Raw genomic sequence first — 27,780 nt, forward strand, 5'->3', positions numbered from 1 at the left:
GCCTAGACTTGGACATAGGCCTGCAGAGCTGATTTCTCTCACAACCCTGGGAAGACAGAACTCCTCAGCGGGTTGATGTGGAGGAGAGCGGAGCCTCCCTCCAAGGCACCAGTCCAGTGCTGGGGGCGACACAGAGAGCCAGAAGCTGGCGGGGGTGGGAGGCTCTGCCCCCCAAGGGCTTTACATGCCGAAGCCCCATGGCCGAGCTGGGACCCAGGGTCAGCCCAGGCAGGCCGCGAGAAAGGAGACTGTGGGCCCCACCCCATCACACAGGGAGGAGGTGCTGTGCCCGCTGGGGGGGCAGCTGCCCCTCTCTGGGCTCTTTGGGTGGGAAGAGGCTTGGTGAGGTAGAAAGCCCAGCCCCTGCCAGCAGCGTTGCCTTCTCACAGTGGCAGCCCTTTGTAACCCGGGGGGGGTCCCTGCAGGGCCTCTCCCTGTCTTCTCACCATGGGGCAGCATTTGGGGGCCTCTTGAGGGACCCCCTAGATGCTTCTACTCAGAGCCCCCAAAGCCAAGGAGCCTCCACTCCTCCGTCTGCAGCCTCCCCTGCCGGTTCTTGCTACCCAGGGTTCAGTGGCCTGGGGGCTGACGGAGGGGGTCGCCTCTGCCAAGGCCCCTCCCGGCGCCTCCCTGGCTCATCCAGCCCACCTTCCTCCCACGCTGGCTCACGCAAAGCGCTCTGGTCACCAGGAGCCCTTCCTGACCAGCCCCGGCCCCTTCTTGGCCTTCGCCCCACCTGGCCTCCCCTGGATCCCTGACCTGGGTGCCGGGCCTGCTGGGTCCAGAGCCCACCCCGCCCTGAACAACCCCGAGCCTCAGCCACCCTCAATTCTTACCCTTTCACAGCTGGGGAGTGGAGTCTGGGCCTGAGGTCTCCCGTGCGCCTCTCGGCGCCTGCGCCCGCGCTGTGCACCGCCCCGCGCCTGCGCCCGCGCTGTGCCTTTGCGAGGGCGGAGCTGCGTTGTGCTCAGCACAGACTCGGAGAGCATCGCGAGGGCGGAGCTGAGTTCTCCTGTGCACAGACTTGGGAGATACAGCGAAGGCGGAGCAGTGTTCTCCTTGGCACAGACCCGGGCGGGCCAGGGGCACCGCGAGGGCGGAGCTGCGTTCTGCTCAGCACAGACCAGGGGGACAACGCGAAGGCAGAGCAGCGTTCTCCTCAGCACGGACCTTGGGGGCACTGCCTCGCTTTGGGACAACTCGGGGCCGCATCGACGGTGAATAAAATCCTTCCTGTTTGCAGCCCTGAATAATCAGGGTCAGAGACCAGTTAGAAGGGTTCAGTGTGGAAAACGGGAAACCAAAAGCCCCTCTGAATCCTGCCCACCGAGGTTCTCCCCAGCCAAGGTGAGGCGGCCGCAGTGCGAGAGCCACACCGCAGCCTCGGAAGACAAATGCAGCATTCCTAATGCAGACATGACACTCAAAATATGACACCCCCCTTGCTCATGTAACAAGCACCTGTAGTGCTAATGCACTGCCTCGACACAAAAACATTAATATAAGATCCACAATCCCCTCGCTGCCGTGCAGTCCTAAGACAGCGATCATAATAATCAACATTGACATAGTCAATACAAACGTAGTAACGAACCTAGGGTTAAGGTTGGTGTTAGGGGTTAAGTTTAGGGTTAGGGGTTGGAGATAGGGGTTGGGGTCAGAGTTAGGGGTTAGGAGTCAACATTTAGAGTTAGGGGTTAAGAGAGGTTGGGGGTTAGGGATTAGGGGTTAGGGTTGGGTTAGGGGGAGGGTGAGAGTTGTGGTTAGGGGTTAGGGTTAGGGATTAGGGTTAAGGTTAGGGGTCAGGGTCAGGGGTCCCACTCTGTTGGCTATTTACTCTACTGACTGTTCCCTTTGCCATGCAAAAGCTCTTTAGTTTAATTAAGTCCCAGCTATTTATCTTTGTTTTTATTGCATTTGCATTTGGGTTCTTGGTCATGAAATCCTTGCCTATGCCAATGTCTAGAAGAGTTTATCCAGTGTTATCTTCTAGAATTTTTATAGTTCAGGAATTAGGTTTAAGTTTTTAATCCATCTTGAGTAGATTTTTGTATAAGGTGAGAGATGAGAATCCAGTTTTATTCCCCTACATGTGGCTCGCCAATTATCCCAACATCATGTGTTGAAAAGGGTGTCCTTTCCCCACTTTATTTTTTGCTTACTTTGTCGAAGATCAGTTGGCTGTAAGTATTTGGGTTAATTTATGGGTTCTCTCTTCTGTTACATTAGTCTATGTGCGTATTTTTAAACCAGTACCATGCTGTTTTGGTAACTATGGCCTTATTGTACAGTTTGAAATCAAGTACTGTGATGCCTCTAGGTTTGTTCTTTTTGCTTAGCCTTGGTTGGGCTACATGGCTCTCTTTTGGTTCCATATTAATTTTAGAATTGTTTTTGTAATTCTGTGAAGAATGATGGTGGTATTCAGATGGGGATTGCATTGAATTTGTAGATTGCCTTTAACAGAATGGTAATTTTCACAATATTGGTTCTACCCATCCACGAGCATGGGGATGCGTTTCCATCTGTTTGTGTCATCTATGATTTATTTTCTTTCTTTCTTTTTTTTTTTTTTCTTCAGAGGGAGTTTCGCTCTTGTCGCTGAGGTGGGAGTGCAATGGTGTGATCTCGGCTCACTACAACTTCTGCCTCCCAGGTTCAAGCGATTCTCCTGCCTCAGCTTCCCGAGTAGCTGGGATTATAGGCATGTGCCAACATGCTTGGCTCCAACTATGATTTCTTTCAGCAGTGTTTTGTAATTTTCATCGTAGAGGTCTTTTGATTCCTTTGCTAGGTATATTCCTAAGTTTTTTTTTTTTTTTTTTTTTTTTTTTTTTTTTTTTGCAGCTATTGTAAAAGGGGTTGAGTTCTTGATGTGATTCTCTGCTTGGTAGCTGCTGATGTATAGAAGAGCTACTGATTTGTGTACATTAATCTTGTATCTGGAAACTTGGCTGAATTCTTTTATCAGTTCTAGAAGCTTTCTAGAGGAGTCCATAGGGTTTTCAAGGTGAAAGATCTTATCGTCGGCAACCAGTGATAGTTTGACTTCCTTTTTACCGATTTGGATTTCCTCTGTTTCCTTCTTTTGTCTGATTGTTCTGGCAAGCACTTCCAGTACTATGTTGAAGAGGACTGGTGAGAGTAGGCTCCTCATCTTGTTCTAGTTCTCAGAGAGAATGCTTTCACCTTTTCCCCATTCAGTATTATGTTGGCTGTGGGTTTGTCATAGACGGGTTTTATTACATTAAGGTATGTCCCTTGTATGCCTATTTTGCTGAGAGCTTTAATCATAAAGCAATGCTAGAGTTTGTCGAATGCTTTTTCTGCATCTGTTGATATAATCATTTGAGTTTTTTTTAATTCTGTTTATTTGGTATATCACATTTATTGACTTGCATATGTTAAACCATTCCTGTATCACTGGTATGAAACCCACTTGATCATGGTGGATTATCTTTTTGATATGTTGTTGGATTCAGTTAGATAGTATTTCGTTAAGGATTTTGGCATCTGTGATCATCAAGGATATTGGTCTGTAGTTTTCTTTTTTGGTTATGTCCTTTCATGGTTTTGGTATTAGGGTGATGCTGGCTTCATAGAATGAATCAGGGAGGCTTTCTTGTTTCTCTGTCTTGTGGAATAGTGTGAAAGGATTGGTGTCATTTCTTCTTTGAATGAAAGAAGACATTCTTTGAATGTCTGGTAGAATTCTGCTGTGAATCTGTCTGGTCCTCGGTTTTTTTTGTTGGTAATTTTAAAATTACAATTTCGATCTTGCTGCTTGCTTTATTGGTCTGCTTGAGGTATCTACTTCTTCCTGATTAAGCTAGGAGGGTTGTATTTTTCCAGGAATTTATCCAACTCTCCTAGGTTTTCTAGTTTATGTGCCAAAAGGTGTTCATAGTACCCTTGAATAATCTTTAATATTTCAGTAGTGTCAGTTGTAATATCCCCTGTTTCATTTCTTAGTGAGGTTATTTGGATTTTCTCTCTTCTTTTCTTGGTTAATCTTGCTAATGGTCTATCAGTTTTATTTATCTTTTCAAATAACCAACTTTTTGTTTTATTTATGTTTTGTATTTGTTGTTGTTGTTGTTGTGTCAATTTCATTTAGTTCTGCTCTGATCTTGGTTATTTCCTTTGTTTGCTGGGATTGGGTTTGGCTTGTTCCTGCTTCTCTAGTTCCCTGAGATGTGAACTTAGATTGTCTGTTTGTGCTCTTTCAGACTTTTTGACATAGGTGTTTAGGGCTACAAACTTTCCTCTTCGCACTGCCTTTGCTGTCTCCCAGAGGTCTGGGTAGGTTGTGTCATCCAGTTCGAAGAAATTTTTTACATTTCCATCTTGATTTCATTTTTCACCCAATGCTCATTCAGGAGCAGGTTATTTAATTTCCATGTATTTGCATGGTTTTGAAGATTCCTTTTGGAGTTGATTTTCAGTTTTATTCCACTGTGATCTGAGAGAGTGCGTGATACAATTTCAATTTTCTTAAATTTATTGAGACTCGTTTTATGGCCTATCATATGGTCTATCTTGGAGAAAATTCCATGTGCTGTGGAATAGAATGTGTATTCTGTGATTGTTGATGAAATGTTCTGTGTATATCTGTTAAGTCCATTAGTTCCAAAGTATAGTTTAAATCCAGAGTTTCTTTGTTGACTTTCTGTCTTGATGACCTGTCTAGTGCTGTCAGTGGAGTATTGAAGTCCCCCACTATTATTGTGTTGCTGTCTATCTCATTTCTTATGTCTACTAGTAATGGTTTTATAAATTTGGGAGCTCCAGTGTTAGGTTCATGTATGTTTAGGATTGTCATATTTTTCTGTTGGATGAGACCTTTACCATTATATACTGTCTGTCTTTGTCTCTTTTAGCTACTGTTGCTTTAAAGTTTGTTTTGTCTCATATGAGAATAGCTACTGCTGCTCGCTTTTGGTGTCCATTTGCATGAAATGCCTGTTTCTACCACTTTCCTTAAGTTTATGTAAGTCATTATGTGTTAGGTGAGTCTCCTGAAGGCAGCAGATAGTTAGTTGGTGAGTTCTTATCCATTCTGTGGTTCTGTATCTTGTAAGTGGAGCATTTAAGCCATTTACAACCAACATTAGTATTAAAAAGTGAGGTACCATTGCTTTCATCATGCTCTTTGTTGCCTCTATACTTTGTTTTTTTTTTTGTTTTTGCTTTTTAACTTGTATTTTTGTTTTATAGCTCTTGTGTGATTTATGCTTTAGTGAAGTTCTGTTTTGATGTGTTTCCAGAATTTGTTTCATGATTTAGAGCTCCTTTTAGCAGTTCTTACAGTGCTGGTTTGGTAATGGCAAATTCTGTCAGCATTTGTTTGTCTGAATATGACTGTATCTTTCCTTCATATATGATGTTTAGTTTTGCTGGATACAAAATTCTTGGCTGATAATTGTTTTGTTTGAGGAGGCTGAAGAAAGTGCCCCAATTCCATCTAGCTTGTAAGGTTTCTGCTGCAAAATCTGCTGTTAGTTTGATAGGTTTTCCTTTATAGGTTACCTAGTGCTTCTGTCTCACAGCCCTTAAGATTATTTCCTTTGTCTTAACTTTGGATAACCTAATGACAATGTGCCTAGGCTAAGATCTTTTTGTGATGAATTTCCCAGGTGTTATTTGTGCTTCTTGTATTTGGATGTCTAGGTCTCTCACAAGGCCACGGAAGTTTTCCTTGATTATTCCCCCAAATACATTTTCCTGGCTTTTAGAATTCACTTCTTCCTCAGGTACACCAATTAATCTTAGGTTTCATCGTTTAACAGAATGCCAGACTCCTTGGAGGCTTTGCTCATATTTTCTTGTTCTTTTTTCTTTGTCTTTATTGGATTGGGTTAAATCAAAGACCTTGTCTTCGAATTCTGAATTTCTTTCTTCTACTTGTTCAATTCTATTGCTGAGACTTTCCAGAGAATTTCACATTTCTAAAAATGCGTCCAAAGTTTCCTGATTTTTTATTATTATTATTATTATTTATTTAAGCTATTTCCTTGACTGTTTCTCCCTTTGCTTATTGTATCATTTTTTGGATTTTCTTGCATTGGGCTTCACCTTTCTCTGGCCCCTCCCTGATTAGCTTAATAACTAACCTGAATTCTTTTTCAGATAAATCAGTGATTCCTTCTTTGTTTGGATCCATTGGTGATGAACTGGTGTGATTATTTGGGGGTTGTTGAAGAGTCTTGTTTTGTCAGATTACCAGGGTTGGTCTCCTGGTTCCTTCTCATTTAGGTAGACTCTGTCAGAGGAAAGTTCTAGGGCTGAAGACTGTTGTTCAGACTCTTTTGTCGCACGGAGTGTTCCCTTGATGTAGTACTCTCCCACTTTTCCTATGGGCATGGCTTCCTGTGAGCCAAAGTGCATTGATTGTTGTCTCTCCTCTGGGTCTAGCCACCCAGCAGGTCTACCTGGCTTTGGGCTGGTACTAGGGGTTGTCTGCATAGAGCCCTGTGATGTGAACCATCTATGGGTCTCTCAGCCATGGATACCAGCGCCTGTTCCAGTGGAGGTGGTGAAGGGTGCAATAGACTCTGTGAGGGTCCTTAGCTTTAGTGGTTTAATGCTCTATATTTGTGCTGGTTGGCCTCCTGCCAGGAGGTGTTGCTTTCCAGAAAGCATCAGCTGTAGTAGCATGGAGGAACTGGCAGCGGGCAGGGCCCTAGGACTCCCAAGATTATATGTCCTTTGTCTTCCACTACCAACTTAAACATTTGTGAGAATTTCAATATCAGAAATTTATGTGTAATCGAATTTATTCTGGTAGCCTAAATTCTGGTAGCTTATTTTCTTATATGCTTCAATCTTTATAATTTAGTTCTCACATGAGGGAGATCTAATATTGGAAATACTTTCAATCTGTATGTTTATGTATTTATTCTAGTTGTCCTGGCACAAGGTTATCAATGTTGCTGCGTGACCAGCCATTGGCTTTTCACATTTACAACTCCTCTGAATTTTTTCTTGCCTCATTTCTGGTGCTGGGAAATTCTGATATTTTCTCCTCATCTCCATTGTACATTTTAGGGATTCTTGAAACTTGTGATGCACAAACATCCACACCTTCCACATAAGTAAAATATTTTACTTAGATATTTTCTAGCAGACACTGAGTTCTCATGAGAAATCCTCAGTCTCTTTATTTGGAACACCCCCACCCCAGTATTCCATATGGAGTAGTTATGTGTAGAATGTGATTACTTCATTAATATATCGAAGTATGGGTACATTTTGAACACATTTGTGAACTTGTAATCCCTTTCTTGATGAATAGTACCTGCGGATGAGCAGAATTGATATTTTCTCTGGAGCAGTAAGTTAGCACTGGTAGAATCTGTTCTGTAATCCCAGGTCCCTGGGCTCCAGTGTCAATGCTTCCTCCTTAGATCCTCCCTGACCCTGTAAATTTACCTCAGTCTCTATTTCTTAATCCAATAGCTATTTCAATTGATCTTCAATTACTTTGCATGTGGCCAGATATTATTTATGGGTTATATTCTAATTCACATTTTTCTGATGTAATTTCAGAGAGCCTAGAAAATATAATAAACTCCTTCTGACAGGTACTTGAGCCTCAGTATTTCAACATGAACAAATGCAGCATCTATTCCCTATCATGAGCACTCTAAATGGCAGTTGAGTGTTTATATCAAAAAAAAGTCAGGAATCATAATCATTTAGAGATAAAAGAGATCCCAGATCTGAAAAGTCAGCTAGCTTAGGAGTTTCAAGACTTTAGGATTTCACAAATCAATAAAATTAAAAAGAAAAAAATGTAAGGTTTAACATAGAGATATCACTTAAACAATGACTACTATTTTGATAAAAGGACATTCAACGGTAAAGGCGTGGGAAATATAACCTCAGAGATGAAAATGTAATAGCTTGGGCCAAGCTCATTAAGTGTCCTTATTTTTGTGTTTCCACCATGGATGGCTGACACTGTCACCTCTGGCATGAGTCCACATCAGCACCCTGGAAATGCCTCCTATAGGGTAATCCTGCAGAAGGCACTAGCAACCCCAGACTCGGGCAGACAGCTGGCTAGACAGTGCTGCTGGGAGAGTACTGCCTCTCAAAACCCGTCTCTCTGTACCAGCTGCCCAGTGTTTCTGTTTCTGCCTACTTGGAGGAACAAAAGCAATCCTGCTCCTCTCCCCAGAGACAGGTAATTATGCCGCATTTTCTTTCCTGTTTCTTACATGACAAGCACTCAAAACTTGTCACTCTTTTGGTTCTCTCCAGTGCCCTCCAAACAGTCCATGTTCAAGCCAAAGAGGAATCACTTCTGCTTACCATGTTAACTTTTAAAATAGTTAACTGCAGCCTGCATTATGAGGATAGCATGCCAGCATAAGGAAGTTAGCATCATCTAGAGTGACCACAGAAGCTGCATCTGTCCGTGTGACTGGACACTGTATATGTCCAGATCTCTGCAAGGAAGAGTCATGTCGTACTTTAGAGTATGACTGAGTCACAGTCAGAGGGAAGTGATTCCCACAAGCAGCTCCCAGCCAGTAACTGAGCTTGGCAGGGATACTGAGGCAGGTCCCTTCCTGGGAGAAATGGGACTCCAGAAGTCCTGGACCCTCTCTACTTCTTTTTATACCTGCTTACAATTTAGCCAATTCTTTTCTGAGCTCATCTCTTTCTTACAGTAGTGACCAAGGGATGTTACTAACGTTCAGTTTCCCCATCTTTTCACCTTAAGCTTCAAGTTCCTTCAGCACATCATCCGCCCTTCAAGTTATTCCTACAACAGCTTTACCAAATATTTCACCACTGCATAACATAGATTACCATCTTTCCAACCCTCAGTAACGGTTCTCTTGCTGACTGCCATCTGGCCCTAGAGCCACATATTTTAGGGTTTGTGTTTTGGCTGCTCCCCACTCCTGGTACCATAACACCATCTATCAAATCTACCTGTAGATCATGAAATTAAATAGGGCTTCACCAAAACTGCTATGGAGGTGGGGAGAGGGACAATTGGAGTGGAGCTCAGAAAGCTGCACTTGCAGAGTCATTTATGTAAGACTGTGAGTGTGCTGCTGGTCCACATCAGAGGATGGGGACTACCATGGTCTGAAAGTCTGTGTCTCTCCAAATTTCATATGTGGAAACTTAATCAAGGTGATAGTTTTAAGAGGTGGGGCATTTAGGAGCTGATTAAGGCATTTGGACAGAGCCCTTCTGAATGGGATTAATGACCTTATAAAAGAAATGAAGATGAACAAATGACCCCTTCCACCACATGAGGACATAGCAAGAAGGCACCATCTTAAAGCAGAGAGCAAGCCCTCACCAAGACACTGAATCTGCAGATGCCTTGATCTTAGACTTCCCAGCCTCTGAAACTGCAAAAAAAAAAATAATAATAATAAATAAATAAACTTCTGTTGTTTATAAATTACCCAATCTAAGGTATTTTGTTTTAGCGGCTCAAAGGAACTAAGACAAAGGTCATGGAGACCATAGGGTGAGTCTCAAGACTTCCCCCAGCTCTACTTGGCTGGTCTCCTGCTGGTATTTTCCGTCTGTAGAGAGGAAAAAGAACTCCCATTTTATCTTGCTTACCTGCACTTATGAAAAGTCAAACTGAGTCATGTTGAGAGCCAGGGAACATAGGAGTCGGTTCTTCAGCAGGAGCACTCAGCTAGTTGAAGGCAATGTGGAGTGATGGGAAGAGAGCAGTGATGCAGTGATGCTGCCATCAACTCCTTTACTATGGAATCCATTGTACCAGCTGCCATACACCTGGCTACTTCTACACCTTATCTCTAATCACTCCAGAATACGTATTAGTTTCCCCATCTTCTAGAAAGGAAAACTCAGACCCAGAGACACTAAGCAAGTAGCTCAAGATCACACACATTATCTGTGATTAAGCCTCAGTTAGAACTGGAGTCTTGGATTTCCACATTTATGCCCTTTTCATGAAGCTACCTAACTTTGATCCTCAAGTTTTCCCATCTATAGCATGTGACTGCTGGACTAGAAATCTCTAAGTCCCCTTTACCTCTTGAATTCTGTGTCTCTAAGGATGAGAATAACAAAACTCCTTTGCCTCTAGCACTTTCCACCTCAAAGCCCTATCACTCTCATTACATCTAATCACTGCAGCCAGAAGCATTAAATAAAATGGAAGGACTGACATTGGGAGTGGGCGAGGCAGAGAAGTTGGGGGCGTGGAGAAACAGCTCTTTTTACATAATGATTGCTACTATGATTTGGTTATAAATAACCAGTGAAGACAATCAGGCTTTTCTGGCAGTCCCTAATTGTAGTGAATGTTGGAATACAGTGACCACCCAAATGCTCTAGACTGATTGGGAAGGTGCCACTTCTAAACCAGCTGGGCTAAGTGCATTGCATAAGCTGAGTATTTAGCTTAATGATTAGAGCCAGTTGACGAAACACAAGAATATGGAAGCCTCCTGCTACTTCTCAGAAGATAAGACAATGGCATTCCACCACCAGTGTTTACTGTGGTACCAAAAGGGAGCTCCAGTTACTTCCCTCTGTGCCTATAACCCTTGGATCACCTGGTTGCACCAGACCCATCCTGACTAAAATCCCTCCAAAGGACCAAAGAGGAGATATGGACAAAAATAAAAAATAAATCTCATCTGCTCTCTTTCCTAAGGACCCAGCAGCCTCTATCCATCCGTCGTTCATTCACTCATTCCACACACTTTCATCTAGCCCCTGCTGAATGCCAAGCACTGGGCTGGAACTCTGGGGACTGTGGAGGTGGAATAGGAGAATATGGGCTTCCTGTGAGCAGTGATTGCCTAAAATATATACATCAAGGTTGTAGGATCACGTGCACCACTGCACTCTAGCCGGGGTGACAGAGTGAGACCCTGTTTCAAAAAAATAAAAAAAAATTATAGGATCATGGAGAAAGTGTCTTAAGTGTTTGGTGCTGTGGACAGGCAACACAGGCAGAAACTGGTGGCTAGGGAATCAGAGAAGTTTTCAGGAGGGAGCATTTGACTTGGGCTTGAACTGAGCATCATAGGGCAATATAGAAACAAGTTTATGGATAATTCACTGAATTGGTGGCAGTTTATAACTTGAATCTTCCTTCAGATGATTGAAGTTAGTAGCCCAGCTATGAAAGTCTAGGTTACAGATGTCTCAGCCACAGCTTGCATATATATGGATGAGGTTCATACATATGCAGACTTGGGCTCCTGCCAAGATATGAGAGTTTTGGTCAGTCTCTGTCTCAATTCTAATGTCTCTGCCTACATACTTGAGTCCAGAGTTGTCATGCAAAGAACAGAACCCTGGAACAATCACACAGGGATTTGGTACTAGGCTTAGCCATTTTCTAGCCATGGGGGCAAAAGAAAATTACTGAACCTCTCTGAGTCCCAGTTTATTTGTCTATAAAATAGGGATAGTGATACTGGGGTTACAAGGAAATTGTGAGAATTAAAATAGTTCAGGAGAGGTTAAGTTGTCCTGGGGCCACCTTTGTCATTGCAGTGACCACACTCTGTAGTGAGGGCACCCTTGAGAGCAGACAGCAGAGCTGCTATGTGATTCATCTCTAGAATCCATGATTCTTGGAACACTTCCTGAGAGCTATTAGGCATTCAAGAAATGTTAATGGTAGATCATAGTATAATGGTAGATCATAGTATTGTGATAGATCATAGTATTGTATTATTGTTCAGCAAACATCTGTTTTCCCTCCTTTCAATGGAAGTGGTGTACTTCCCCACCCCACTGACATTGGGCTTAGCCATGTGACTTGCTTCAGCTAATGGAATGTGAGTGACTCAGTGAATGCCACATCCAAGCAGAGGCGTTAAATATTCCTGCATGGCCTCTGGTGATCCTATCCTCCAGCATGAGATGAACATGCTTCAGATAGCTGCTGCTACTCCCCTGGATCCTCTTCTGAGAGCCAAGTGAAGCAAATAGGAACCCAATTCACCACCCAGATCCAGGCCCATCTGAATCTAGCCAGCCCAGAAGAGCCCTGTAGAACCACAGCTGACCTATGGAAATGAGAAGTAAATGTTTGTTGTTGTTAGCATTGAGATTTGGGGATTACTTTTTATGTGGCATCATCACAACAAAGCCTGACTAATATATTGTATAAAGTTAATTGAGTACTAACAACATGCCAGGTATTGTTCTAAGTCCTTTATATAAAGAATCCCATCTAATCCTTACAGCACTGCATAAGGAGGTATCATAAGTATCTCCATTCAGCTGATTAGAATTGAGGCATCTGGTCAATCCCCTTCATGTTATTCCTCCTCACTTCCTGCATCCGAATGAACCAAGCCTCCTGTGTTCATTAGAACCACAGACCAAGCCTACTGGAGAAAGACAGGGCTGTGAAGATGGGAATGAATTGGCAAACAGCTTTGGGATGACAATGTTAAGGCCAGGCAAATGCTCTCAGTAACCTCAAATGAGTGTTGATGTTCATGAAGCCTGCTCAAAAAAGACACAGAAATTGACGTCTTTTATCTGAGGACCCTTCCTTAGCCTCAGGACTTAAGGCTATGGGAGCATGAGCCACATAACCATGAGAGGCAGGGGGTTCAGTGAGAAGAATAAGCTCAAGAGTTTCACCTGTGGGTCAGAATCTCAGCTGTGCCACACATACTGTGTGATCTTGAGCAAATCACCAAACCTCTCTATTCCTCATTTTTGTCACCTGTAAAGTGGGACTATTACTTGTACCTACATCCTGGATTTGTTGGGACAGTAAATGAGTTAGTGTTCCCAAGGTGCTTAACACAGAGCCTTTGCATGCAGCAAGCACCCAGTCAATGCCCATGACCATGGCCCCCTGCTCATGCTGCTCTTTGGTTCCCCCTGAGGTCTTTTGGGGACAGAGAGTGTGAAAATGCCCTCTACCCACACAAGGAAACAGGACTCAGGGACAGAGGACCTGTGCCCTGACCAAGGCAATGCATCCCTCACCATATATGCAGTGGTGCATCCTTTCCTGTTGCCTTTTGGATCAGCAATTAAGGCTTTAGTCTTTTTTGTTGGTGTGCAAAGGTATTTTCTTAATGGCCCTGCAGCCCAGCCATCACAAAAATGCTTTCCAGCTCTCAGGGAGAACATTTCTGATGCATGCTGAATCCAGAATTCAAATGAAGCAAAATAAAGGCACCAGGGGCTCTTACGAGACAGAGTGACTCAAAATAGAGGGAATGTGGGGACTTGGGGCATAAGATTGATCATGAATCACCAAATAGAAAAACCTTCGGATGGCTTTCAAGAAGAATCCTCCTTGAAGTTTTAACTTTCACCTACAAGCAAGTTTTCTCACTGCTCTGTACAGCAGGGTAAGGACAGCAGCCTCACAGCATCAGTCTGAAGATAGAATGGGTTAATGCAGCCAGGCACAGTGGCTCATGCCTGTAATCCCAGCACTTTAGGAGGCCGAAGCAGGCGGATCATGAGGTCAAGAGATCAAGACACCCTGGCCAACATGGTGAAACCCCGTCTATACTAAAATACAAAAATACTAGCTGAGTGTGGTGGTGCATGCCTGTAGGCCCAGCTACTTGGGAGGCTGAGGCAGGAGAATTGCTTGAACCTGGGAGACGGAGGTTGCAGTGAGCCAAGATCGCACCACTGCACTCCAGCCTGGGTGACAGAGTGAGACTTTGTCTCCGCAAAAAAAAAAAAAAAAAAAAAAAAGAATGGGTTAATGCCTGAGAACTCTTTGGCACAGTGTCCAGCACAAATTCAGCAGTCACTCAGTGTTGGCTATCATCTTTGGTGATGTTGGTCCCAAACCCAGACCTCTGCTCTTGTCCTCGGCTCATACACCCACCTGTATAGCCCATATGCACTTTAAACATGAGTCCAAAATGGAATCCAAAATATTAGATGCCCTCGTTGCCACCACCAGGTTTGCTTTCCTCTCAAGCCACTGAGGGATCCACAGAAGCAGAGACCATGATGAGAACCCATCTTTAACTCTGGGTCACTAGCACAGGGGCAGAGTAGGCAGTCACTACATCTTCAGAGCTTGTGAGTTTTATTTTGCTTTGTTTTGCAATCTGTCATCCCCACACTCTTACTATATAAGACAGTGCCTAGCCAGACAAGCATAGGTTTAAATCTCCACCTTGTCACTTCTTAGCTGTGTGACCCTGAGCGACGAGCTTGAGTTTTCTGAGCCTCAGCACCTTTAGCTGTACAGTGAGAATGAACAGACCCCCTCACAAGGCTGCTATAAAGAATTAACGAGGCTGGGCATGGTGGCTCCCACCTGCAACCCTAGCACTTGAGGCCGAGGTGGGTGGATCACCTGAAGTCAGGAGTTCGAGACCAGCCTGACCAACATGGTGAAACCCCGTCTCTACTAATAATACAAAAAATTAGCCGGGCATGGCGGTGGGCACCTGTAATCCCAGCTACTCGGGAGGCTGAGGCAGGAGAATCGCTTGAAACCAAAACCGGGTGGCAGAGAGAGGTTGCAGTGAGCCAAGATTGCACCATTGCACTCCAGCCTGGGTGACAAGAGTGAAATTCCATCTCAAAAAAAAAAAAAAGGAATTAATGAGATCACTCTGCACAAATCCTAATGTGGCATCTGATACAGGGTGAGTTCTAGTAAATGAGCATTTTTTACACTCAAGATGTAAGAGTGATGGTTTCATTATTAGAGATGAGAGAACCAAATTAATAAACGTTTAATCATGTACTTAAAATCACACAACTGGGACTCATAACCAAGCCCTTTTCTTCCTGGTCTGATGTTCATTCCTTGTTGTCTGAAATGTCAAATCATTTTACCAGAATAGCAGGGGAGAGAGGGACAGAAAGTTGCTTAAATTATTGATTTTGTTTTAGCAGCCTCTCATCCTGCAAGAGGGGCTTGCAGTAACAAAGGCCTGGCACCTTTGAGTTTGTTTTTGGTCCATTTTTTAAATCTTCATTCCCTTTAGCTCTTGTTGAAAATGGCTTCCTGCCACTTTGCACAGAAAAATCTCTTTCATGAAATACCAAAACCAAACAAAAAACAGGCCTTCGAAATGCTGTTTTGCCTCCTCCTAAGAGCTAACATTTGTCAGTTGTAAATTAACATTCCTTTCGCTTCTTTCAACAGAAAATCAATCAGGGCCCTAAAATCCCTGCACATCTGTATTTAATCCACAAATAATTCAACAATGTTCTATCTTAATGGGATATTGTGAGAAAAGCATAAATGTCATCAACTTCTTTTACGTGGAAAGAACAATAGGGCATGAACTTGTTTGTGCTCCTGATGTCCTTCAGAAATGGATTCCTAAGGACCAGGGGTGTTCTCCCCACCGACGGTCCACAGTGCCACAGCAAGGACAGTCAACTGGGAGTTGGGAGACCTGGACTTCAGTTCACACCACTTTGCTGGGGTACTTGGGCAAGTCCCTCAGGGCCTCAATTTCTGCATCTGCACAACATGGGGAGTGGTCAACATGATTTCCGAAGTCTCTAGCCAGATTTCAAATTTGTTTACAGCACACAGAAAATTGCTAAAGAGAAAAAACTATAGTGGCCATTTCTGTTCAGGCTGCAAAATCTTGTGCACTATTTACATATTTAGGTATGAACTGTCTCAAAGGGTCTTTCATTTAAAAATGACCAACATGGAGAAACCCCATCTCTACTAAAAATACAAAATTAGCCAGGCGTGGTAGCGCATGCCTGTAATCCCAGCTACTCCGGAGGCTGAGGCAGGAGAATGGCTTGAACCCGGGAGGCAGAGGTTGCTGTGAGCCGAGATAGCACCGTTGCATTCCAGCCTGGGCAACAAGAGCGAAATTCCGTCTCAAAAAAAAAAAAAAAAAAAAAAAGAGGATGTAGGCTACAGCCATATACCCTGAACATGCCCAATCTCATCTGATCTTGGAAGCTAAAAAGGGTCAGACCTGATTAGTACTTGGATGGGAGAAAATGAAGGTGGAGATAGTTCTTTGTGAAGACACATGTGTGTACTTATTTGTGCACTTGTGTGCTTGCAATTGCATCTTGGGCACATGTGTATTGTGGAGGCATCTGTGTGCCTGTGGAGTGTGTATACATAAGTACCTGATGTATGTTTGGCTGCAGAGGCACAGAAGGTCAGCAACAGCAGGTGGCTGCATGCAGGGGCACTAATAATTACTCATTTTATACAAACTGTTTAGCAACAATGTTAGCTATTCTACTGCTGACTTTACGAACAGAGAAAATGTGGCCGGACACCATGGCTCCTACCTGTAATCCTAGCACTTTGTAGGGGCTGAGGCAGAAGAAGCCCTTGAGCTCAGGAGTTTGAGACCAACCTGGGTGACATAGTGCGACCTAGTCTCTAATAAAAATTAAAAAGAAAAAAAACTATCCAGGTGTGGTGGTGCATGCCTATAATCCCAGCTACTTGGGAGGCCGTAGCAGGAGGATCACCAGAGCCCAAGAGTTTCAGACTGCAGTGAACCATGATTGCTCCACTTCACTCTAGCCTGGATGACAGAGCAGGACCCTGTCCCCCTGCCACAAAAAAAGAAAAGAAAAGAAAAGAAAAAAGAAACATAGAATAGAAAACGTCTCCTGGTTTGCATCCTGGAATAGAGAAATGAGCACAGGCTTTCAAATCAAACAGTAGTGATTCATATCCTGCCCCTGGCACTCACCCAGCATCTCTGAACCTGAATATTTTCATCCAGGTTGACTTAAGGATGAAATGGAAAAAGGTTTACAAAGTACCTGGGGCATAGCAAAGGATTCAATAAATGTTCTCTCCCTTTTCTTCTATATTAGTTATCTATTGCTAAATAACAAATTAACCCAGAACTTAGCAGCTTAAAACAGCAAGTGTTTTTCTGATAGTGTCTATGAGTCAGGAGCCCAGGCAAAGCTTCTCTGGGTCTTCTGGCTCACAGTCTCCCAAAGGCTGCAATCAAGGAGTAATATAAGGCTATGGTCTCATCTGAAGGCTCAACTGAGGGATGCTTCCTTTCCAAGCTCACTCATGTGATTATTAGCAGGTTCAGGTTTTGGCTGGCTCTTGGTCAGACACTCCCCCAGCCTCTGGTTTCTTGCTACTGGGCCTCTTCATAGAACACCCACAACATGGCTGCTGGCTTCCATCAGAACAAGAAAGCAAGAAAGCAAGAGAGCAAGAGAGGGTGAGCAGGATGGAAGTCATTTTCTTCTTGTAACTTCTCAGAGGTGCTGTTCATCAGTTTCACCATATTGTGTTTGTTAGGAGCAAGACATTAGGTTCAGCCAAGATATAAGGGAGTGGAGAGGATTATACAAGGGCATGAATACCAGGAGACATGGATCACTGGAGGCCATCTTAGGGGCTGCTGGGAAGCCTGTCCTCCAGCCCCCAGTGATTCACATCCTCCACCCCATGCAAAATACACTTGTGTCCTGCCAAGATCCCTAAAAATCTCCTCCCCCTTCAGCATCAACTAAAGTTCAGAATCTCATCAAATCAGGTATTGGGGTGGGGACTTCTTGAGAATGACTAGTCACATGCAGCTCCTAGAGTACAGTTCCTCTCTCTCTGAGAGCCTGTGAAACTAGAGAGACACAGTATCTGCTTCCATACGCCTAGCATTAAATGGTATAACAGGCATGGGTTAGCTCTATATCTGTCTCCTTTTTCTCTAGATGTTTGATGAGACAAGTATTTTAATTTTGTATTCCACTAATTTATTCATTCAACAAATACTTATTAGGTACTGACTATAGACTCTTTATTTATTTTGCATTCCCATTTTGCCAACAAGGAATCTGAGAATCAGAGGCAAAATATTACAGCTTGGCCCACTGAATTATTTTTTCTTCTCTGAAAGGACCTCTAGGGTTCTCCATCAATGAGGACTTTCTAGTCACAGCTGCAGTGAGGTTTGAGTTTAGCTGATTAGACCATCAACCACAAAGACTATACATTCAAATACTTTTATGTGGCAGAATATCTAAGAATAATTCAAGCTAATAAAAGATCTAGAGAATAATTAGATATATTCATTGTTAATAAGAGCCCATTTAATATTGTAGCAAAGGCAAGATCAGGGCAGGATCAAGGCAGAGAATTTTCAAACATGCCTAATGATAGTGTAGACTAATGGTGTTTTTCAATTGTGGCTATATACATTCTAACACATTCAATTTTTTTAAAAAAGTGAAGCTTAGGTCCTATTCCTTAGAAATTCAGATTTAACTAATTTGGAGTGGGCCCCAGACATCAATATTTTAACTTTCAAGTGGTTCTAGGACAGACAGGTTTAGGGGCTGTGGAGAGACACAGAATGGCAAGTACTTAGAACATTCACACATCCCCCCACCTCCCAAGCTCCTAATAGAAATCATTTATTAACCAGTCCCCTCAATGTCATTGGTTGGAATGCAATTGTGTAGTCTTTCTCATCCCAGGACTCCAGGCAGCCCCTACCCATGAAGCCAAGTTGACATATGAATGAAGGCATATGTGTTAGCCCTGACAAGCCACACTGGGCATGCTTTCCCAAACCTACAAATTATCAAGGGTGTAGAAAAATAGAGCCCTCTCCATGCTGAGCAGATCTCACTCATGTAGACAACTGAGGTCTAATTACCCATTGGAAAGGGCCATTGGAAGAGCACAGGAAAAGGTCCAAGATGGAGAGGGAATTTACAGCCAAGTCTGATAATGGTTTCAGAACCTCAAAATACTTCACCTGGAGAGGATCCATGGGCAATATACACGAAGGAGCTCTCCTCTTCCTGAGTCCCTCCAAAGAGTTGTGTAAAGCCCAAAAGGGGGGCTCTCCAGGAGTAGATGCTCTTCAAATCCCACTTCTATCCCTTACTAGAAGTATAACCTGGCTTGCTATTGAGCCTCTCTCAGCCTCCTTTTCCAAATGAGGACAATGGTGCCTATGTCACAAGAATATTGCAGTGATTCCATGAGAAGATGTATACAAAGCACCTTGCCCAATATATAGTCAACAAATGCTGGTTGTCACCTTTATTCTGTCAGTGTTGGTGGAGTGCTGGTACTCATAGTTCACTAAGAGGTTTTAGGACAGCAATGATCTTAGAAGAGAATCAGATCAAAGTTCTGAGTGTTTTCCCTGGAACTGGCATTGTATTATTAATATCCTACAAATGGGAGACATGTATCCCCTGGTCTCATACCTGGAATATCAAAATGGTACTTCATTAACAGTGTCAAAGCAAAAGTCTGATGGCTCTGCCTGCTCTTGTGAGTAGGGGTACTCATATTCCCTTTAAGCCCTTCCCCCAAATTGGCCTAGAGGTCCAGGGGGTTCCACATGGGCTCAACATTCTCTGATTAACTCTCCCCTCATATCAACAACTTCCTCCTATCAAGCTTGACATCTTGTCCTATTTCTTCCTATTCTAGGTGTAGGCAAGTCTAGTTTGCTCTTCAGCTACTCTATCCCTCTCCTGCATATTGACTCTTGAATTCTTGATCCCTAGTAGCTTCTCACACAGTCTGTAAAATGGAGCATGGAACCACTACATAGAAACAGGAAGGTTCTGCCCTGTACTCTCAGCTCTTAAGGGCACAGTCACAAGAAGACCATTTTTAAATTCTCATTGTGTAACACCCTTACACATTCCACATGCATCATAGCACATAACTCTGACAATAAACTACAAGGTAAGCAACTAATTATTCCCTTTTTAATATTTTTTAAACCTAGGAAGGTAACTTAATCTCTTTGACTTCCAGTTCTCATGAACTAGAACATTAAAGAATCAAGATTTGAACCAGAGGTGATGGTTTTTAAAATATGTCTGCTAGATATCAAAATGAGTGCATGGGATTTGATATATGTACATAGGTAGGCATAGAAATAGATAGAGATGCTCAAGGATATGTGTATGTGCACATATGAATATGTGTGCATGTATATACATGTATCCATTTCCCAACTCTGTCTTTTAAGAGGATATAGAAACAATATCACCCCAGTAACAATAAACACCCTAGTGCCCACATCTTGATTTCTCCATATCATTTTCTGCTAGAAGGAACCCTGGTCTCCTTGGAAAAATGGATGATTCCAAGGCTTGGACAGGGAATACACAAGATGAGTCTGACATATCTCATGTTGAAAAGTAACAAACTACTCAAAGAATAATGACAGCATGTCAAAAGGACACAAGAACCAACTTAAAGGGCTCCCACTCACCAAATCTAGGGCAACCTAAATATCATGATAAGTATGGATACCCTCAGTTCACTGAGAGATTTGAGGTCAGGGACAGTCTTAGAAGACAATAGAAAACAGTGTTCTGAGTGTTGCCCCTAGAATGAGCATTGTGTTAATATCATAGAAATGGGACACATGTGTCCCAAGGTCCCATACCTGGAATGTAAAAATAGTATCCATTAACAGCATCAAGTAAAAGATTATAACCTATTATAAAAACTAGAAACCCGGGCTGGGCATGGTGACTCAAGCCTGTAAATCTCAGCACTTTGGGAGGCTGAGGCGGGAAGTCTGTTTGAGCCCAGGAGCTTGAGACAAGCCTGGACAACATAGGGAGGCCCCGTCTCTACAAAAAAAAAAATAAAATAAAATTACCTGGGCATGGTGGCATATGCCTGTGGTCCCAGCTACTTGGGAGGCTGAGGTGGGAGGATCACTTCAGCCTTGGAGTCAAGGTTGCAGTGATCTGTGATCATGCCACTGCTCTCCAGCCTAGACAACAGAGTGAGACCCTGTCTCAAAAACAAACAGAAAACTAGAAAACCAAGATTCTATGCCGATGTCAATAATATAAACAAGTGTTCTTCCTTACAGTAGAAAACCAACAATACATTTAGAAAGATTACAGAATTTTTTTAAAAAACACGATTTGACAACCACAGTAATAACTGATTCAGGGAAGGGCTACTAATAAATGCTAAAACCAATGGATGCAAGTTTGAGAAATAATAGGATATCTTCATAGTCTCAAAGTATTTCTCCAAAGGAAATACATATTAATTATAAAGAGTAAAACGGTGGACAGCACCGTAACCCCATGAACAAAGTTAACATTGCTAGTAATGGGGCTAATTAATAGCACCTGCCCCTCATGCCTTGAGCTACAGGAGCTCAGCATGGCATCAGTGATATTCCTGCCCAACATGCATAACAGAATCTAATCATGGAAAAGCACCAAAAAACCGAAGTTGAAGGACAATTATACCAAGTAACTGGCCAGGTAATCTTCACAAAGGTCTGTGTCAAGAAAGACAAAGCAGCAGAAACTTTCAAATTACAGGGGACAGCTAAATGCAACACATGGTCTTGGATTGTTTTGTTATAAAGGACATTATTGTGAAGTCTGAATAAAGTCTGTAGATGAGATGAGAGAATTCCCTGTTTTTAGGAAATATGCAACAAAATATTCAAGAGTAAATGGGCATCACACCTTAGATGACTCAGAAGAAAAAGGGAAGAACAGAGATAAGTGATACAGTGAAACCCTGATGTTTGGGGGATCTGGGTAAACAATGTTTAGAAATTCTTTGTACCGTGTTGCAAGGTTTCTGTAAGTCTGAAACTATGTGAGAACAAGTGTTTTAAAATAAAGCATAAAATGTAAAACATCTCTTCTGCAAATTCTTTGGCACTCCTCCCATGAAGAGGTAAAGTCTAATCACCTCCCCTTGAATATGATTTGGACGTAATGACTCATTTCTAACCAATGAATATGGTGTATGGATGCCTAATTATAAAAGAAGATTCAGCATGTATCAGAACAAGGAAGTTCTGGGGCATGTGTTTTGTGTAATTCACGCTCTGTGTGGTTCATGTGCCCATTGCTCAGATAAAGAAGCTGGAGCTCAGAAAGGTGCCCAAATTCAGAAGACTAATAAATGGTGGAGCCAAACTTCAAACTTAGGGCACTGGAGCCTCCAATCCCAGGCAGGTGGCCTTGTGGACGGGGAGCTGGGACCTGGAGTCTGCCTGCCTGGCCAAGGCCTCTCGAGTGCTGCAACATGGGTATTTGGAGCCAGATAATTCTCTGTGCACCATAAGTTGTTTAGCAACATCTTTGGCCTCTACCCAGAAGATGGCAGGAGCACCTGACACCCAGCTGTGACAACCAAAAATGTCTCCAGACATTGCCAAATATCTGTGGGGGTGCAGGGTGCAAAGTTCCCTCATTTAAGAACCACTGACCTAGGGTGGTTCCACTACTTACTTTTCACATGACCTTGGACAAACAACCTTGTCCTCAAGGTCCTCTGTGCCCCCATGTCCTCACCTGTAAAATGGAAAAATAATAACATGTGAGGTTAATGTGAGGAATAAATAAGAATCCAGGAAAGCAATTGGCCCATCATGTAAGAGCTACTTTGCCCATAACCCTAGGGTGCCTTCCCTCCAAACACAAAGCTGTGCACAGAGGAGGTACACAGTGAAGATCTGCTGTTGTATAGCTGTGGGGATGAATCAATTAACCATTTCAGTAATAAATGAACAAAAAACTGAATGTCCTGATCTGTGCACTAGTGCATTTGCTGACTGAAGATATCCTGGCATCCTCTCTCACCATCAAAGAGCAGTTAGGATTAAAGACTCCACAGCCAGGCTACCTGGGTTCAAGTTGAGCTCTGCCACTCAGGAGCTATGTGACCACAGGCTGGTTATTTAGCCTGCCAATGCCTTCATTTCCTTATCTGTAAAATGGGTTAATAAAAGTGCTTACCTCACAGGGCAGTGAGAGTGAAATGAATTAATACATGTATTTTACCCAGCACAGGCTGGGTCTCCATCATGCCTGCTGCAATTGCTGCTACAGCAATTAACATTAATCCTATCACACTCCTCTTTTATAGCCCTCCAGCCACACTCCTCCAAGGGTGCCAAGAACAATCCCATTTCCAAGCCTTTGCACTTGCCACTCCCTCTGCCTGGATTGCTCTCCTTCCCAGACATTAGCAGCCCTCCAATCCTTACTTCATCAAGGTCTCTCTTCATGTGGCTCTTTGGAAAGTCCTCCCCTGACCACCATAAATAAAACAGCAGCTTCACCACCCTACTCACCCTGGGCTTTTTGCAACATAGCAATTACCCCTGCCTGGCATTATCTATCCTGGTCAGTACAGCACAGTGCAATGCAGTGCAGTATAGTACAGATCTCTTTATTGGCTTATCTCTCCCCCAGCTCACATAAATGTTCCAAGAGAGCAGAGAATTTGATTGACAACTATATTCCCAGCATCTAGAACAATGCCTAGAGCATAGTACGTAATTATAATGAATGGTGAGTGATATTTTACAGAAGGAAATTCCAAAGTCCTCACATAACCCATTTTCCATAACACAGAACTTATTTAAACTGGAGCCTAGAACAGTGTTTTTCACAAAAGATTTTGCTTATAGCAACCCGTGCTTTAGAACAGAATATTGTAAAGACTTCCAGATCAGTTAGATTTGAGTTTCTCAAGTAGTGACTGTGGACTCCAGTGAAACAGTAACAGGAATTCCACCAAACAAGGTTCACAAAGTGAATGGCATTGGGAAATAATACAGAATCTTCTCGCACTGGAGGATGCATCATGCACAGGAGAAGCTCTAAGAAGTCCTATCGAGAAAACAGGTGTTGAACCTGGGTTTGCTGAACTTATTTCACCAGAGACCCCATCCATTAACATCTGCATCACAAAGCACAATTGGGTAAACAGTGATCCAGCTGAAGTCTTTCCATTTACAGACACAGACAGAAAATGAGGCCCAGAAAGGTTAATTGACTCACTCAAGGTCATGCGACCATCTCCTGAATCGTAGAGCTGTGTGCTTTTCACTGCCCCTAATGTTGCCTAATGGTTCACTTAGCTATCCATTCACAGGAGGTCAGAAACTGAACACGGGCCTCAGATTCCAGTATCATTTTGACTAAATTATATATAAAAATTGATGTACCGAATAGGATTTGCTTTCAATATCACTATTCCAGAAATAGTCATTCATTCAACAAATATTTATTAAGTACGATGTGCCAGGAGCTGCACATTTTGCAGTGATCAAGATATGGCTGCACAGAAGACTGACAATAAAATTAGCCTTAGAGAGATCAAAATTGATTGAACTGTCCTTGATAAAACTGCTTCAAATCAGGGACTTGCAAGAAATTGCATATTCACATTTCATTTGCTTCCATTAATAGTGCTCATATTTAGATCTGATGGTAATAATATGCTCTCAACTGGTGTGGGTCTGGAATAAAACACTCCCCTTGACTGTGCACACTGCAGAGAGGAAAAACAAAATGATTGGAGTCAGTTGGGCTTTTCTATTGAGCACCTCGACCTACAGATTTTCCAATTTCAAGTTCATTCACATTTCATCTCTGGCTTCTACATTTTAGTTAAAAAGCATTTCTCTATTTGCTATTGTCCACTAAGGAAAATGCCTATTTAAAAATAGGTTTCTTTTTTAAAGCATCTTGATTCATACATTTCAAAGCCCTTCAGAAAACAGGATTTCTCAAAAGCCAGGTGATTCTAAAACATGCTACAGATTTCAGATGGAGAAAGATTCAAGATATTATTCTACATGATCTTTTCAATGAACTGATCGCATCTGTCTAGGAATAAGGAGAGTTGTCTTATGTTACTTCAAGAAAGATTCCAAATGAAAAAAAAATCTGGGCTTGAGAAGATCTAATGCCATGCCATTGAAGCCAGGTTTCAGCACAGACCCAACATGTGTATAAGTAATAAAAAGAAACCTGAGAAAACAGAAGCTCCTCAAGGTCCTTTGCCCTGGTGTATCTTTAAGGCCAAACTGTAAAGAGAATAAGCATGTACTTCCAGACCCAGCAAATGTCTTCTTTGCATTTTAAGGATGCACTCATCCTTTCTTCAGAAGCAATCCTGAAACCCAGTGTAGCAAAGCAAAGATAGTCACCACATAATACAAATAATCTGTGTTTATTAGATACCAGAATAAATCAGGGAGACTTCTTAAGCTATGGTAAAGAGACCCCCACCAGCACAGAGAGAAGAAATGACACAAGCACAAAGCCACGGGAATCCAGACCCAGGAAAGCTGTGCTCCCACCACATCACTGCACACACACAAAACCTGCTGTTTAAAAATCAATTCAAACACAAACAAGTGACTGAAAAAGCCATTTGTTTAAAAAGGGAGGGGAGAGCATATTTTTTAAGGACCAAGTATCATTTTTTTTTTTTTTTTTTAAGGAGCCAGCACCATACTCTCTTCTCTCACAGGATCATTGTTCCATCTCTGGTAGGCTGGGTACATTTGACTGAGTTTATTGCAACTGCTTCTGCCAATTCTTTGAACTACCAATCAATGGGGTGAGGTTTCTAAGCACACCAGCTACTACACAGAAACACATGATAAAGGGAGCAGTACTGGAAAGGCATGTATTTGCTTGTGTGTGCATGCTTGTCAATGTCTGTGTGGTTATGCAGATCCATGAGGGGGTTTCTTAATGCAGTTTAATGGAATCCATTTGGGGTGAAAGGCGTTATTTTGTCTAAAGAAATCTCCCCCTCGCAGTCCAGCTCTCAGACAGACTCTGCAACAGGGTCACCATCTGGGGATGTCTGATAGATCTGGGACATGCGATCGAAAGGACTCTCCTCCTCCTCATCGTTGTCCACCTCTTGGTCCCCGGGGGGAACGGCGTTGGGCATCATGTGGATGCAGGCAGCTGCGATTTCCTTGTGGAAGACCATGTCTTGGTTGTAGGAGATGAGCTCATTGCTGATGTTCACCGTCTCCACCGGCGTGCGGGAGCAGACGTGGCTGCACCCCAGCAGCTGGGCAAACACCTTCCAGAAGTCGGCGTTGAAGGCATAGTGACTGGGTTGAGTGAGGAGTTGGCCCAGCAGAACCAGATGAAGACATCGAATGTGGTCTCACTGACGCAGGGGAAGCCGGCCGGAGGGCCTTTGGGGTGTCCACTGCGGAAAGGGACCATGCAGTTAAGGATGAAGAAGGGCAGCCAGCAACACACGAAGACCCCCATGATCACTGACAGGGTCTTGAGAACCTTGGTCTCCTTCTTGATGGAAAACCGCAGGCTGGTGTCGGGCGTGCAGCCTGCGCTGCTCCGGCAGCTCTGCACGTGCTCTGCGGCCCTCTCCAAGGAGGAAATCCTGCAGATCTGCACCTGGGCGATGCGGTAGATGTGCGTGTAGGTCACGATCATGATGGCCATGGGGATGTAGAAGTTGATGAGCGAGGAAGAGATGGCGTAGGTTCGATTCAGGCTGGAGTCACAGTTCTCTGCCCTCACGTCAGGCTCCCAAACGGCCTCCTCCCAGGGCGTCCAGTTGGCCAGGTTGTTTGGCAGGTCCAGCCCACCTCAAGAGACCGCCTGGTCCCTGTGCCAGTTGAGCTGGACCGGAATGAAGGAGATGAGGCTGGACAAGGTCCAGGCCGGGCCGACCATGACCAAGGCCATGCGCTGGGTCATCTTGCGCTCGTAGCGGAAGGGCCTGGAGATGGCCCAGTAGCGGCCCACGCTGATGACCTGCTGACGCACAGGTTCAGGATGGAGGCGGTGGAGCACATGATGTCGAAGGCCACCCAGACGTCGCAGAACGCTTCAAAGGGCCAATAACCGGCCACCTCGGCGACTGCCTTCCAGGGCATGACCAGCAGCGCCACGAAGAGGTCTGACACAGCCAGAGACACGATGAAGACGTTGGTCATCTTGGCGCGCAGGTGGCGGCTCCGCACGATGGCTGCGGACATCAGCACGTTGCCCAGCAAGGTCCAGATGATGAGTAGGGTCAGCAGGCAGGCGGTGACCACCTGCACGGGCCCCAGTGGCGGTGCCCCCGCCGAGCCCCCCACGGCGTTCCCCTGCGCCAGCTGCTGGTATAGCGCTAACTGCCCCGGGTACGCGGTGCCGTTGCTCCTTGGCGGCAGCATTTCGGGCTGGGCCGCAGAGTCGGTTTGTGCGCGATCCCAACTACAGCCCTGCGACCCCCAGGCAGCCCCATCGGGCACCCCGAGGATGCGCCCCCTCAGCCAAGGGACCCTCGAGCCCCAGAGGGCGCTCACCATGAGCTGCGCCGGGTCCCGGAGCGCGCGGGGACTTCTCTTGCCTCCTGAAGCGCCTCTGGCTCGGTGGCCGTGGTGCGCCCCTCCAGTCTCCGCGATGGGCACAGGAAGCGGCTGGTGCCCGCTGACAGCCAGGGCTGTTCTCGGGAGTCTGCGGCGCGCCAGATGGCAGCGACAGCGGCTGTGTCTGGTTCGGAGCGAGAGAAGAGAGCAAGCCGCCACTGAGGGGCTGGGGCAGGCAGTCGCCGGCGCTGGGCTGGCACTGCGGCGCTGCCGCGGTCCCTGGCCGATCCCCGGCCCCGCGTCCCGCCCCCCGCGCCTCCGCGCTGGACTCCAGCCCCACCTGTGCCTTGGCGCCCTAGCTCACCGCGCTCAGCGCGCCAGAGTGTAGTGGTGATCCCGCAGGTCCCAGGAGCGCCCCAGCGCCAGACCCTAGCCCCGGGCCGGGGAAAATTCTTCCCGGGAAGACCGAAGGGTGCTTGGCGTAGCCCTGGAGCCCTAGCCCTAGCCACGCTTGGGGAACAAGAGGTGGGGTAGGGATGAGGACGCGAGGGCTTCCGGAGGGGGAAAGAGCATTTGAAGTGTAAAGGGGGCGGCCTTGGATTGCCCACAGACCTGAGTCCCAATCCGGACTTTATTCCTGGCTCTGCAACTTTAAGCGCCCTACATAACTTTACCTGGCCTTGGTTTCCTTCTCCATAGCGTGGGATAATGATTCCTACTCCTAGAACAGTGTCAG

At 44.4% G+C, this 27,780-nt stretch overlaps 1 pseudogene and 1 further gene across 7 annotated transcripts in view, besides 2 other annotated features; one reads left to right on the top strand and one right to left on the bottom strand.

Annotated features, from left to right (window-relative positions):
* LOC107985911 (lymphocyte specific protein 1 pseudogene) overlaps positions 1-952 on the bottom strand; it is a 42,827-nt pseudogene extending 41,875 nt beyond the window's left edge. For all 7 annotated transcript variants that reach the window (NR_160761.1, NR_160765.1, NR_160763.1 and 4 more), the window contains exon 1: positions 837-952. The product of NR_160761.1 is annotated as a lymphocyte specific protein 1 pseudogene, transcript variant 1 (transcript). The remainder of the gene's footprint in view (positions 1-836) is intronic.
* The window catches only part of IGK (immunoglobulin kappa locus), a 1,378,008-nt gene that overhangs the window by 727,353 nt on the left and 622,875 nt on the right, over positions 1-27,780 (top strand).
* Positions 824-1,053: a silencer, noted in NCBI's record as "silent region_11736". NCBI's record gives its function as "represses an Ori minimal core promoter by ATAC-STARR-seq in GM12878 lymphoblastoid cells {active_cell/tissue: GM12878}" and the evidence as "EXISTENCE:reporter gene assay evidence [ECO:0000049][PMID:35858748]".
* Positions 1,204-1,283: an enhancer, noted in NCBI's record as "active region_16178". NCBI's record gives its function as "activates an Ori minimal core promoter by ATAC-STARR-seq in GM12878 lymphoblastoid cells {active_cell/tissue: GM12878}" and the evidence as "EXISTENCE:reporter gene assay evidence [ECO:0000049][PMID:35858748]".

The sequence above is a fragment of the Homo sapiens genome, chromosome 2, assembly GCF_000001405.40.
Source record: "Homo sapiens chromosome 2, GRCh38.p14 Primary Assembly".
NCBI lineage: Eukaryota > Metazoa > Chordata > Mammalia > Primates > Hominidae > Homo > Homo sapiens.